The sequence below is a fragment of the Homo sapiens genome, chromosome 22 (genome assembly GCF_000001405.40).
Source record: "Homo sapiens chromosome 22, GRCh38.p14 Primary Assembly".
Taxonomy (NCBI): domain Eukaryota; kingdom Metazoa; phylum Chordata; class Mammalia; order Primates; family Hominidae; genus Homo; species Homo sapiens.
The window spans coordinates 12,614,067-12,628,536 of NC_000022.11; the positions used below are offsets into that span (position 1 = coordinate 12,614,067).

A 14,470-nucleotide genomic window follows, 5' to 3' on the forward strand; every position below is an offset into this window, starting at 1 on the left:
TTTCCAAGAAAATTTTAAGTAAAATCACAGATATTACGTCATTTTACCCATAAGTACATAAATGTACATTTCTTAATGCAGTATGTCTTTCTCTCATCACCTCTTTTGTTCTTTACTTTTATACATTATACTATGTCATTATCAGACCTTGTAAAATTAACAAGAATTCCTTAATATGGCATATCCAGTTAATGATTGACTCATTTCTACTCTAGTTAAAGTACAATTTAGGAGAAGGTTTGAGGATATTTTTTCACATTAAGATGTAAACTTTTATAACAACTGCTAAAATAATTGTTGCTAGAGTCTAACATTTCTATTGGCAAATTGGAAATTAGTATACATAGACATAGATTCTGCTCATTTTGCTTTCAATCTAAAATCGTAGTTAAGATTACTGGCCGGGTGTGGTGGCTCACACCTGTAATCCCAGCACTTTGGGAGGCAAAGGCGGGTGGATCACGAGGTCAGGAGTTCAAGACCAGCCTGGCCAATGTGGTGAAATCCCGTCTCTACTAAAAATACAAAAAAAAATTATTCAGGTATGGTGGCAGGCTCTTGTAACTGCAGCTACTCGGGAAGATGAGACAGAGAATTGTTTGAACCCAGGAGGCAGAGGTCGCAGTGAGCCAAGACCGCGTCACTGCACTCCAGCCTGGGTGACAGAGCAAGACTCCATCTCAAAAAAAAAAAGATTACTATGCTAGAAAGTCTTCCTGTAGAGGCATTTTTAAGAAGCATTATCGTAGGCATTGCCTCTGGAAAGCAGGCATGAATAGATGGCTGGGGTCTATCATGAGAGAGACTGTTCTCCATATATCAATTTTACCCTCACATGTTGCCTTTTGTTTTGTTTTGGTCTTTTTTTGAGACAGGACCTTGTTCTGTCACTCAGGCTAGAGTGCAGTGGCGTGATCATAGCTCACTATAACCTTGAACTCCTGGGCTCAAGTGATCCCCTTTCACAGCTCCCCGAGTAGCTGGGATTACAGGCATGCACCCCCATGCCTGGCTGTATGTTGCTATTGTGTATTTTAAAAACCTAATCCTGACTCTGCTGGTAGTCGCAGGAATCTGTGCACATACATGCAAACAAGTACACGTAAAACTGGTGAAATCTGAATAAGCTTCATGGATTATATCAATGTCAGTTTCCTGATTCTAACAATGTGTGATACTTATGCAAGATGTCATCATTGAGACAAAGTGAGTGAAGGATATGTGAGATCTTTGTAGTATTTCTTACGACTGCAAAATAAAGTTTTTAAAACTAAGTTATAATAACAAAGAACTCTGTGTCAAAACTAAAATATAAAGTTGAAATATCAATTTTATTTTTTAGGAATCTGGTGGACAGTAATAAACTTTGGTGGAATTTCAGGAACCATAGCCATTGAAATGGATGAGGGAACCTATATACATGCACTCGACAATGGTCTTTTTACCCTGGGAGCTCCACACAAAGAAAGTTTGTGTTTGGAAGGGAAGATCCTGCCACAAGTGTAGATTTTAGGACATTCATTCACTTAGGCCAAACTCTAACTAGTCTCAAACATTTTCCAAATAAATGGAACCATTGCATTTGACACTTCCATTTTTTAATTCCTTAATATTTACCAGCCATTGGGAAGTCCCTCTTTTTAATATAAGCATTTGAAAACATTCCATATAGTTCCATAAGAGTATCTTTGGAAATCAAAACAATATGAATAATTAAAATAGTAAGTGGAAAGAAAAAAGAAAACCTATTTGAGTCAAACATCTTTGAATTTCTTTTTTATTCAGACCTATTACCAAAACTAACCTGGGTGCATTTAACAATTTGAAGTTTCCTCATTTTCTTTAGCCCTTTAGAGGAAACACTAATGAGATATGAAGTAATTAGAAGATAAAAAGCAGTATCATTTGGTCAGCAAGGCCATCCATTGAATAAATGAAAGCGTTTAGCTTTTTTAAATAAGTGCTTATTTATGACTGTATTTTAAAACATAAAGAGAATCTATCTCGAAAGTTATTAAATAAGCATTATATCACCCTGTCTTACTCAGTGTATAAAATTAGCACTGTAGTTAAAAGAAGGTAAAATAGATCTTGATTCCAAAGATACAGTATTACAGTGACATCAGTATATCTGAATATTCTTACATTTAATTGCAGAAGAAAATAGCCACATTTTTTAAAGCAAAATAATGTCTTTATATTTATAGCAAATGTCAAATTTATATTCAAAAGTTTTTTCTCCAATAGTTGATGAGGGCTCTAGTCCTCCAGAGCAGTTTACGGCTGTCAAATTATCTGATTCCAGGTGAGCTTATGTTGTAATATAATTAGTAACCAGTTATTTTAAAAATTTAATTGTATTCATTAAAAATTTTAGTATCTGTCTTAAGCCCACGGTAATTTTGATATAAAAAACAAAATAGCTTTTTTGAAAAGTAGATTTTGTGATCTACTTTTAGTGGATTTCCTATCAATATATAATGCTAGGCTGGAAAAAAGATATGTAAGTTAAAAAATGAAGATTAATAATTTCACACACCAAGTAAGATAGATTAAAAAATAAATCAAATAGTACAAAACCTGGTTCACTGTTGCTATGATATTTAAACTCACTGTTTGGAAGTCTAAAGACAAACAGGAAGACTAAAAAAAGGAATATTGTTGAAACCAGCAGAGAATGTTACAGCATCATAACGACCAAAAGAATATTTTTACTCACTATTTTTACAGTCATTTTATAAAGTAGCCTTTTTTATTCTCACCTTGTGCAGAAGTATAGAATGATTCTTTGGGTAAAACATACTGAAAGTGAATTTACATATTTTAGTAATTGGTTACATCGACATGATAATGATTTCTGTTATATAATCATTAACGTATAAAGGAGTAAAAGTCAATTCTGGCATCCAAGGAGATTCTTGGTAAGGTAAAAGAAATCATAATTTTAAAAAATCACATTAAGATGATTATTTCTATACTTTCTTTGGAAGTCTGATAAGTAGAGTGAAAGACAAAGAATAAAAGCAGAGGAAGAAAAAATTCAATAGTTTTAAACTGCTTTACAATTATAAACAAAAAAGGATTATAAAGAAAATTAACTGACAAATGAGGAAAATATTTGCAACAATCTTAATAGGCAGTGAGTTCTTAATCTTCATATGTATCTTGTATAAAATTCATAGCACTGAAGACCCCAGTAGAAAAATTGCGAACAATAAGATCTGAATAGAAAAGTGGACAAGGCACATTACCAGATAATCTAAAAACTAAAAAGGAAAGGAAAAGAAAAACAATTGTTATTCTAGTTAACTACTAAAATGCAAATTAATAGGATACTGTTTTTTTCCATATCAGGTTTTCAAGTATTTTTTTAGAGTCATAATGTTTAAAAAAAAAATCCATGATACAAAACATACTGTGTTAATTTGAGGTGAGAATGTAAATGGAAGCAGCATTTTCTGGAAAACAGTTTGATGACATAAAGTTTTAGTAATTTATTATTGAAGTTTATAACTAAAGAGGTATAATTGAAGAATGATGAATTTTGAAAATATTTGTTATGTAATATATAAGGTACAATGTTTATATTAAAAAAGCAAAATATAAAACTAAATTTAAAACTGCACTGTCCAATATGGCAACAACTAGTCACATGTAGCTTTTTTTTTTTTTTTTTTGGAAGGCACAGAGTCTCACTCTGTCACCCAGGCTGGAGGGCAGTGGTGTGAACATAGTTCACTATAACCTCAAATTTCTGGGCTCCAAGCACTCCTCCTGCATCAGCCTCCCAAGTAGCTGGTATTACGTGTGCACACCACCATGCCCAGCTAACTTTTTAAATTTTTTATAGAGATGGGGTCTCACTATGTTGTCCAGGCTGATCTTGAACTTCTTGCCTCAAGCAATTCTCCCATTGCCTTCCCAAAACACAGATTACAGTCTTGAGTCACCACTCAGCCACATGCATCTTTTGAACACTTGGAATATGTCCAGTCTGGAATTTTAGATATGTACACACCCACACACATACACATGTCCTGTTTTGATGTCCTATAATTAATTTTCTCTCAGTTTTTAACTTTTATCTATCTTATTAATGTACAGAATCGCCCTGAAATCTGGCTATAGAAAATATCTTGGTATAAATTCAGATGAACTTCTTATTGGGCGTTCAGATGCAGTTGAACCAAGAGAACAATAGGAACCAGTCTTTCAAAATATAAGTGCTGTTATTGTTTATAAAAACTTCCTGTCAGTTTAACAGAAAGTCTGTAACAGTCAATCATAATATATTTAAAAAGAAAAAGTAGGATGCAATAGTATAATACATTAAATTGGAATAAATCAGTAAGAACATAGAGCCTTAAAGAGATCTCAAAATATAGTGCAACAAAAATAGCATTAGTACTTTTGCCCACAATTATTTCTGTATACCCTTAGTGCCCGATATGGATCTCATTTCCATTGAAGAACCAGTCAATTTTAGGTCACAGAGTAGGAAAACAGAATAGTTCCTAAGTATCTTCCTTGTAGCAGAAATCATGGATGCTTTCAGAAACATTACAGACTGTAAGAGAACAGTGGAGCTAGCTAAGAACAAGTTGTGACAATTTGCGTATAAAATATAAATAATAATAGTTCATTGAAGTAAATTATCTCTAAAAAACTTTCAGTTCATAAGCTTAAAATAGTGTATGAAAAGATAGTTTTAATATAAGAAGAAAAAAGATAGTATACTAATTCTTAATTTTAGTAAGTAGACAATTGTAGTATATGGATGTTTTGTTAAATCTTTGTTGATACAGAATACATGATTTCCTTTTTCTGTGTGAGAAGTAAAGATTGAACAAAAAATATGTGAGTGCTAAACTGTCTTTAAAAAGTAGATAACTATATCAAAAACAGTAAGGACCAGTGGGTACCACGCAGAACAAGCAAATAGAAGATAAGCTCAGCCTTTGAGTAGCAGCTTTGGTAGTATACAATAATGAACTGAAAATAGGAACTCAGCAGTGTTTTCTAAGACGACAGATTAAAAAAACATCCCACCAGAAAGAAGTAATCACTTAGACTAATTTCCTCATCCCCTAGGATAAAATCTTAAGTCAGTGACTTGAAAACTATTTTGACCCAATCCATTGACAAATGCAGCACACACATATGCATAACTGAAGCAAGAGTTGTACTTAACAATACTTACTTATCCATGTGTTATACACCTTGATATTTCTTATTCTCTTTTACCCCTTCCTCTGTGTGTCTGTGTGTATTCCTTTTCCCCCCAGCCCACCCAATACCGTTCAGGAAACACTACATTGATTTCATTACCTGTTAATGTGTTGCAACCCCTTTGAGATGATCCTACTAGTTGTGATGAGATGTTTCTAATAAAAGTTACACCAGTAGAAAATGCCAATATTTCATAAGGCCAGGATGATGACTTAGATAGTACTAATAATACAACACTTTAGGAAAGTTCATTTCATTTTATTTTTAGGAAGGACACTAAGTTTCAAAAATTTAAATTTAAATGAAAGAGGGTCTTAAAACTCTATTTCAAAAAGGACTCAGCTGAATAATCTGTGGCACAGGTTTAAATCGCCTTGGACCAGACCACCATGTTCCAGGGCTCACCAGGAGCCATCCAGATGAGAGACCACCCAGCCCTTGGGACTTGACTAAGAAATTAAATCCATGTTATCAGCACATTTTTAACTGGATGTGATATAAGTTTAACATATTTTGTAATCATTGTATTTATAAATATTTTGTCTAAACGTTATGGTATTCCAAGTTTTCCAAAAGAATCAACCAAATACAAGTTATAAATAAACGTTATATTTGTTACGGGAGTTAAGCTAACCAAATTTGTAACCCAGATTTAGATACACAAGAAAATCAGTTTTTAAAGTTTTGTTTAATAGAAAGCAGTGTAATACATCAAACATTAAACAACTAAACATGTATATGAATATTTATTTTCACACACAAAAGTCACTCAGACATTGATTCTTAAATTCAAAACACCAAAGGCATTGTATATACCTTTTCATGTTTTCTAATTGTGAAGAAAATAATTTTTATTTAAAATGTTAATATTTGAATAAAGTATGCATTCATAATTATGTTCTTGTCTTTAAAGTTAATTTTTCAAACAGAACTAAATCAGTTTTATCTTCAGTAGATCTTTTAGAAAGGAAGCAATCCTACCTCATCTAATTAGAATTTAGTCCGGCCGGGCGCGGTGGCTCACGCCTGTAATCCCAGCACTTTGGGAGGCCGAGGCGGGCGGATCACGAGGTCAGGAGATCGAGACCATCCTGGCTAAAACGGTGAAACCCCGTCTCTACTAAAAATACAAAAAATTAGCCGGGCGTAGTGGCGGGCGCCTGTAGTCCCAGCTACTTGGGAGGCTGAGGCAGGAGAATGGCGTGAACCCGGGAGGCGGAGCTTGCAGTGAGCCGAGATCCCGCCACTGCACTCCAGCCTGGGCGACAGAGCGAGACTCCGTCTCAAAAAAAAAAAAAAGAATTTAGTCCTACTAGGAAGATACATTACAAATGTTTATTGTGGTAATCTTTGAATAGTAAAATGAAAGGTGATTTTGGTTTCCTTTTCTATATGTTCTTGTATTATATTTTTCAGGTTTTTCTCTAAGTTCTTTTCTGTGATTTTTAAATCAGGGAGGAAAAATTAATTCAGTCTAAACATTTAATGTTTCTTCCACAAGAAGTATCCTCATGGCTATTTTGTTATTTTGTTTCACTTAAGGGAAAGTGGCTTTGTTGGCCTCAAATAGCTGCTTTATTAGATGTAATGAAGCAGGGGACATAGAAGCAAAAAGTAAAACAGCAGAAGAAGAAATGATCAAGGTGATGATGACATTTTATACAGATGACTGCATTCACACATGCGATGTGACTGTATCTCTTTAAAATGTTAAGTCATCATTTACTGTCACTTTAAAGATTTAGTTAATAGCTTTTTATAATGTGGTGTTTCAAATAGACTCATTTTAAATTATAAATCCCATAGTTGATGGCTTGTTTATACAATGTGTTAGAGAAATCAGTGCATCTAGGAGCTATCTTGCCATTATCTCCATGGATTAGTATCTTTTTCTGGTAGTTCCACATGCTCTTTTTAAGCTTTCATTTTCTTGTTTTCTTGCTTGTATTTTAAAATCTGATTTTTTAAATAGATAACATGTACATGTGGTCCAACATTTTTAAATAAAAGCATATAAAGATGAAGATACATGCCTGCCATGCATCTTACTCACCTGTGTCCCAGCTCCTGTTCCTCATTCCCTTTGTTTTGTTTTTTTCATAGCCTCCTAAAGTTTCTTTATAAACATATGAATATATTTATAATTTTCAACTGTTTTACACTAAAGACAACCTCCTCTATAGTCTTCTCGACTTTGATTTTTTTTTCCTTAAAATTGTATCTTGGAGAGTTTTCTACTATTAGTTTGAATGTAGAAAGTTTTCTCTTTGTCTTGCTTTTCCTCTCTTTCTCTCTCTCTCTTTTTTAACAGCCACATAAAATTCCATTTTAGGGATGTACCTTAATTCATTTAGTCTTTTGTAGATGGAAATTTAGGCTGTTTCAAGTCTTTTGCTCTTATAAACAGTGCTGCAGTACATAACATTGAATATGCATCAATTTGTAGATGTGTGGGTGGACCTGAAGATAAATTTCCAGAAGCAGAATTACCAGGTCGGGGTATACGCGTTTGTATTTACATAATGCTTGAGCTTCTGTGATGATAATCACTCTATGAAACATAAAAAATCATAGCAGAACTTCTGGGGCCTTAGCCCTTACATTTTAAAAATATTTTTATTAATAGTACCTGTCTTCTTTGCATTAGGAGAAACATGAATCACATAAAACATGGTTTTTATTTTATTTTTAAAATTCGTGTGCATCACTAATCTGGAAATAAAAGTTCCTTATTCCAGGCTAAATTCCCTCATCCATAGTCACATGTGTTATCCATTGCACCAGTGGCCTGTGCCCTCCCTAATCTTACTCTTTGTTTTACATCATTGTAAAAGTTACACAGACATCTTCATATCAAGGTGAAATTCCAAATAATACTGTTAATATAACCTAGATAAATCAGGTAGTTAATTGGAACTTGATGAAAACATTTAAGGATTAATTTTTTAGCCACTGATCTTTAATGATATACATATACCAGGATGTGTCTAAAGAATAACTCCCCCCTTCTTGACAAATGGTTTTTCTGTGTCTTGGCATTCCATCGCAGTACTGAGCAAAGGCACTGATCTTTAATGATAAACATATACCAGGATGTGTCTAAAGAATAACTCCCCCCTTCTTGACACATGGCTTTTCTGTGTCTTGGCATTCCATCCCAGTACTGAGCATCCAGAACCTTACTTTGTTTGTCTCTGTTGGGAATCACAGGTTGCATCCAGTCTGACCCAGATTTGCTCTGTAAGGCATTGTGGGGGCCAGAGTGGAAGGCTCTAAGAGAGGGGGCAAATGCCTTTTCTAAAATGCCCTTCATTCTTATAATTAAAGCATAAAAATTTATGTTACATTTTTCTCTACTACCAATGTAATTTAAAAGCATCTATCAATTCTCTGTACGTGCTTCATGTTATATTTCCAGTCATATGTTTGATTTTCTTTTTAGAATAGTCTTGATTTCAGATAATTTCAAATCTAAAGCTCAAACAATTTCAATCTAAAATGTAGGTATTTTCTTACAGTTAGAGAAGTGAAATGTTATATTTTTTCGTTGCATGCATCCGGCACATGCGTTGTAGTCTTGAATTTCCATAATGCTCCTGTGAGGTGGATGTGAGCTCAGCCTTACAGACAGGAAGACAGCCTCTGACCCTCCTTACATCCTCGTGGTTTTTGTCAGTCAGTTCATGGAAATCACAGTGATTTCAAGGTGTGGTAAGACAGGATGTGTACCCAGGCCCAGCTGACTCCAGAGGCCACTCTCAGTATTTCATAGCACATTGCTTCTCAGGAAACAGATCATTGGGGAAATGCGGATGGGTTTGTGACTTACATTTAATTTTATTTATTTACATTTTATCGCATCATGTTTAAATTATTTTTCATCTGGATATCATCACAAAAGTGTTACTGAAGGCAACAATTGCAAATATATGTGCAGTGCTTTGCACTTATACAAAGATACAAAGATATTTACACAAAGGTTGCATTTTTCATGATTTAAAGCAATTTTCAGATGAAATACAAAGTTTTCTGGGTCTTTTTGGTTCGTCAAGTACTTGGAAGCTCTGAACAGTGATTATTTAGGACTCTTTTTGTACCATTTAATTGCAGGCTGTCCTAATCTCTGTCAGCCCTTCACCTTTATGACCTTACCTTGTCTACCAGAACACAGACCCCTCTTACTAAAGGTAGCATTGTGCTACAGGCCCTAGCAGGGAATGTTTTCAAGTCTGGGAACCCTCTAATCAAAACTGTCACAAAGATGTCATTGGCACAAACACGTTATTTGTCATCACTTTCTAAGCAGCCCTGGAACTGGACTCTGGCCACAGAGATCCCTTAGGAGACATGAGTCCTTACCATTGCCAATTGCCTGTTCTGTGGGCAATCCTAATTGTTGAATGCAGATTAATTAACTTATGACATGTGATAGTAAACATCTATCCAAACTTAGGAGGATATAAGAAGCTAGTAAAAGAGGTGGGTTCCAATTAATTGAAAACAAGTTGTGTAATGTTAAAAGTTTTAATACTTTAGTAATAGTCTGTGCAATGTAAAATAGCTATTAAGCTTTTAATCTGATCAAATGAACACTTGTCTACTAGGGATAATTTGATCCCAGTGTATTCACTTGGAGAACAAAATTAAATTAATGATTTCTTTATTGCCTAGCAGGATCTGATGTGTAAAATGTTTCTGAAATAATTTTGTCTGTAGTGTTTCTGACACAAGGGCTGTGGAGAAAGCATGTGATAGCACTTACTCATATAGATTATATATATGAAGTAAAAACACATGGCCAGAACCTGTCTTTTTCTGAATATATTTGCTCAGTTAATTTTTTCTTCTGCATAAGAAATCATCTCGAATGTTCTTATGTGATGCGTAAAGTGGTGAAGGTGGAAGATAAACATATAACCCATTGAATTCTCTTTTCCAATATCTAGATTAGATCCTGTGCTGAAAGAGAAACCAAGAAAAAAGATGACATTCCAGAAGAATACAAAGGAAATGTAAAACAATGTGAAATCAATTATGTGTATGTATGCTTTTCCTTTTAGACCTACGGATTTGACAGTGAAGTGCTTCTCAAAGTGCTTTCAAAATAAATTACCTAATTAGCTGGGGATGGTGATGCATGCCTGTAGGCCCAGCTACACGGAAGGCTGAGACAGGAGGATTGAGCCCAGGAGTTCAAGGCTGCAGTGAGCTCTGATCACCACTGCATTCCAGCCTGGGTGACAGAGCAAGACCCTGTCTGAAAAAATGAAAACTGATGGACAAGAAGAGGTAACACAATGTAGCCTCTAGGACAGAGCACTGAGCTAAATGCTTTTCTCTTCTTGAGGGTTCAGTTTTCCTAATCATCCTACCAGCTCCCAAAGGTAGTCACTCGGGTTAGTCAATCTCTCTATTCATTCATAGAATGGGCCTGATGCCAGTCAAAGGCTGTGCTATGGCCAGGACACAGGGGACTCCAGCCAGCATGCCTTAATAGAAGTGGGGCCTTCTGCTACCCAGCCAATGAGTGGCCCTCCTCTTGAGAGGTTATGAAGGTCATCTTTGTTGTTCAGAAGCTCCAGCTTATTAAAAAAAATACAATTAGACTTTTTTTTTTCTCCCCCAAGACAGAGTCTAACTCTGTCCCCCAGACTGGAGTGTAGTGCCATGATCTCGGCTCATCGCATCCGCCACCTCCCAGGTTCATGTGATTGTCCTGCCTCAGCCTCCCGAGTAGCTGGGACTACAGGCGCGCACCACTGCACTCGGCTAATTTTTGTATTTTTAGTAGAGATGGGGTTTCACCATGTTGGCCAGGCTGTTCTCGAACTCCTGACCTCGAGTGATCCGCCTGCCTTGGCCTCCCAAAGTCCTGGGATTGCTGTCATGAGCCACTGTGCCTGGCCTACAATTAGACCTTTTTAATAAGTGAAAAAGAAATTAACAGTATTTACAAATTTAATAGTAAATATGTATAATCAGAGTTTGAGGTATTTTTCAATGAAGACATTTTCTTTGCAGAAAGAAATTTCAGAGCTTCCAAGACCAAAAACTTAAAATAAGTAAAGAAGAGAGTAAAATTCTTAAAAAAGGCTCAGAAAGATGGATTTTTGCATGAGACGCTTCTGGACAGGTAGCTATTTATTTACTTATTTTCACTATTTTCAGTAGCCAATAGAAATGGCATGTAGAAAACCTATATTCTCTTAAATTACTGTAGTTTTCACATTTTTGTCTTTATTTCTAATTTATGAGTGTGGCAATATTACCTAGAGAGGACATCATGAGTTTGGGAAAAGACTGTCAAGAAAGAATATCTAAAAATTATAACCGATTCTAAGTATATATTTTAAGAAATTCAGGTTTGACTGTATCTACTTCATAAATTTATCATTATATTTTTATAACTATTAGAACCAGAGTTAGAAAGAAGCAGTTTGACTAATATAAAAATTATGTGGATTCTGTTAGAGTAGTTCAGGTTCCTTAAAATAAGCATAGATCAACTAAAAAACTAAGTATAAAAGCTAAACAAGTGAAATTGAAGCAGTTTTATTGTAAGATTTGGAAGAGTGCAGGATGTTTATCATAGCACATTATTAATATTTATTACTCTTCCTATGTAGATAAGTAATGTCCTAGATTTACAACATAGAAAAACAGGTAGAGACGTTTAGCTGTGAGTGTACAAGTATAAATCAATTAAGTGCCAGATTTTGATAATCACCAGCTGCTCATTCAAGTCCTATGTTGCAAAGTTAGTCTTACGCTTTTTTTACATTACTTGATAAAGGCAATGTTTAATTACATATTTCCTATTAACTAGCTGGTAGAGTTCATACCTAAAGTCAGTAAATAATGTTAAGAATTTTTTCCAGCTGAGCAAATGAGTATGTATCTAGTTGTAAGAAATCAAGAAGAGGATATAAAATATAATCAGGATGTGGACTCTAAAACGAAATAACCTCTATGTCCTGTAACTTTTATCACTCGTAATAATACAGCATTCTCACCCTATTAAATGGAAATTTAAAGCACCTTTAAATTCCAGAATAATTAAAATTGCTATTTGGATTGAAAAAGCCCTTAGGCAACATTTATTGAATATTAGGAAATAACTTTTATAAGATTAGAATCCATTTTTTATAGAAACAAAATTTGAAAGTATACATATTTTAATATAAGTGTTGTGGTAATACAGTAACCAAAATTGAACACACAGTTTTAAAGCTTTTTATATTTAGTAGCAGTTGAATATATATGCCATGTTTTACATAGATTAATTTTACTATTTTTCTTTATTTAAACAAGAGAACCAAATTGAAAGCCAACAGATACTGCAAATGACTGGAATTTTTGTTTCTGCCTTATCTTTTTGTGTTTTTTTTCTGAATAAAATATTCAGAGGAAATGCTTTTACAGAGTTCTTGAGTTGTTGTGAAATTATTATTTAGCTAGTACCTAGTTTAACCAGGATTAAACAAGTTTAATCAGGATTCTTCATGGATGTACTTTTTAGCTAACTACAGTTTTTCACATGGAAATGAAACTTACAGTTCACACTTAACATACCACAGAATTTTTTTCTGGATTTCCTGTCCTGAAGCATGAAGTGTAGTAGAAACCAATTCTTCCTGCGCTACTTGTGGAATCTTTCTTACTGGATCATAATCTTACTTACTTTATACAATAGATGCTTAATCAGTGCCTTTAATAGGAAGTTAGAAACTCCCAATCCAATCAACAAGGCTTTGATTCTACCTCCTAAGTAGTATCCAGATCGCAGACAATCCAAATATCAGAACTAGGGGGCCGGGCAGAGAGGACAAATCATCTATTAGGGAGTGGGACAGAAAGTAGGAACATTACAAAGGAGCAAGTAGTCTCAGAACAGAGGGGAGAGTAGTACTGGGAAAACTCCCTACTGAGGACAGGTTTGCCACAGTGGATATGTATGTGATGCTTTTGTCCTCGTGGGCTGGAATGGAAGCTGATAAAGTTCAGACGCTACGTGTTGCTTAGGTCTGCTTTGTTGAAGCCTGTCTTTTTCAGAGTTCCTAAACACAATATTCCCGTGGCATCTAATCCCAGTGAGTGCTCCAAATCCAGGCTGTGTATCAGATGCCACGGGAAATTCTGCCTCAGGACTGAGGTTGGTTCAAGCTTCTGGATGATGTCAAAAGTCCACGTTGTGTGCTGGCCTAACTTGAAAGACCCTATCTAGTTCTAGCCTTTAAATTCCTTCTGTCACCAAATCTGGAGTTACATGGCATCTGTACAAGCTAAGTAGCCGAGGCATGGGATCAGCCCTATAAAGGAGCTTCTGGAGCTTTTTTTGTAGGTCTAGCTTCAACTTGGCACTCCAGTTCCAATAGCTGGACTTTCTCTCATCGTGTGTGCTGATCCTTGGATTGGGAACAAAGTAACCACTCTGATCCCTCAAAGCAGTGGTTCCTGTTCCCAACTGGTGACTATTTTGCCTCCCAGGGAACATTTTTGGTTTTCCCAACTGGAATAAGGTGTTAGAGAGTAGAGGCTAGGGATGCTGTGAAGCATGTTGCAGAATCCTCTTCCGCCCAGAATGCTAACAGTGCCAAGGTTATGGAGCCTTCCCACCCAAGGGCTTGGCCTATTTCTTGCTTTTGCCAGCTCCCTAACCCTTAAACACAACAGTTCAAATCTATATGCATAAGCATCTCCTAGGGACCTGCACGTTTCCAATATCGACTACTGAGACCCATCCGTAGAGATGCAGGCTTAGGAGGTCTAGGATTGGGCTCAAAATTTGCATTTTAACAAGTACTCTAGGTCATTCTGAAGCAAGTGATACAAACCACAGAATGAGGAACACGCCTTCAGGAGACTGAATCTTGCTTCCCAACACTAGCTTGGTATCTGAGACCATCTGCCTGCTGACTGGCTTTCCTGGCACAAACATTCCGCATGTAGGCACAGTGTATTCCTGGACTCCATGTCAACCCGTTCACCCTTATGTTCCCTTGGTTCCTCTCCCCAGTCCAGCGAGCAGAACTGATTACAGATCTTGACAACAGAAGATACAGATTTAAAATAACTTGCCTGTTCCCGTGGACTTTATCCACTAGTGGAGGAGGACAAGTGGACAAGGGGAGAGGGTAGGTGGGGGCTCCTTCCCTATTCCTCCCATTCCACTTTATACAAACCCCAGCTAGACCACTGGGAGAGCAACGGAGGTTAAGAATGACTGCATCTAAATATTGTC

General features: G+C 35.7%; 1 pseudogene; it reads left to right on the forward strand.

Annotated features, from left to right (window-relative positions):
* On the forward strand, positions 1,301-12,640 carry FRG1GP (FSHD region gene 1 family member G, pseudogene; annotated as a pseudogene).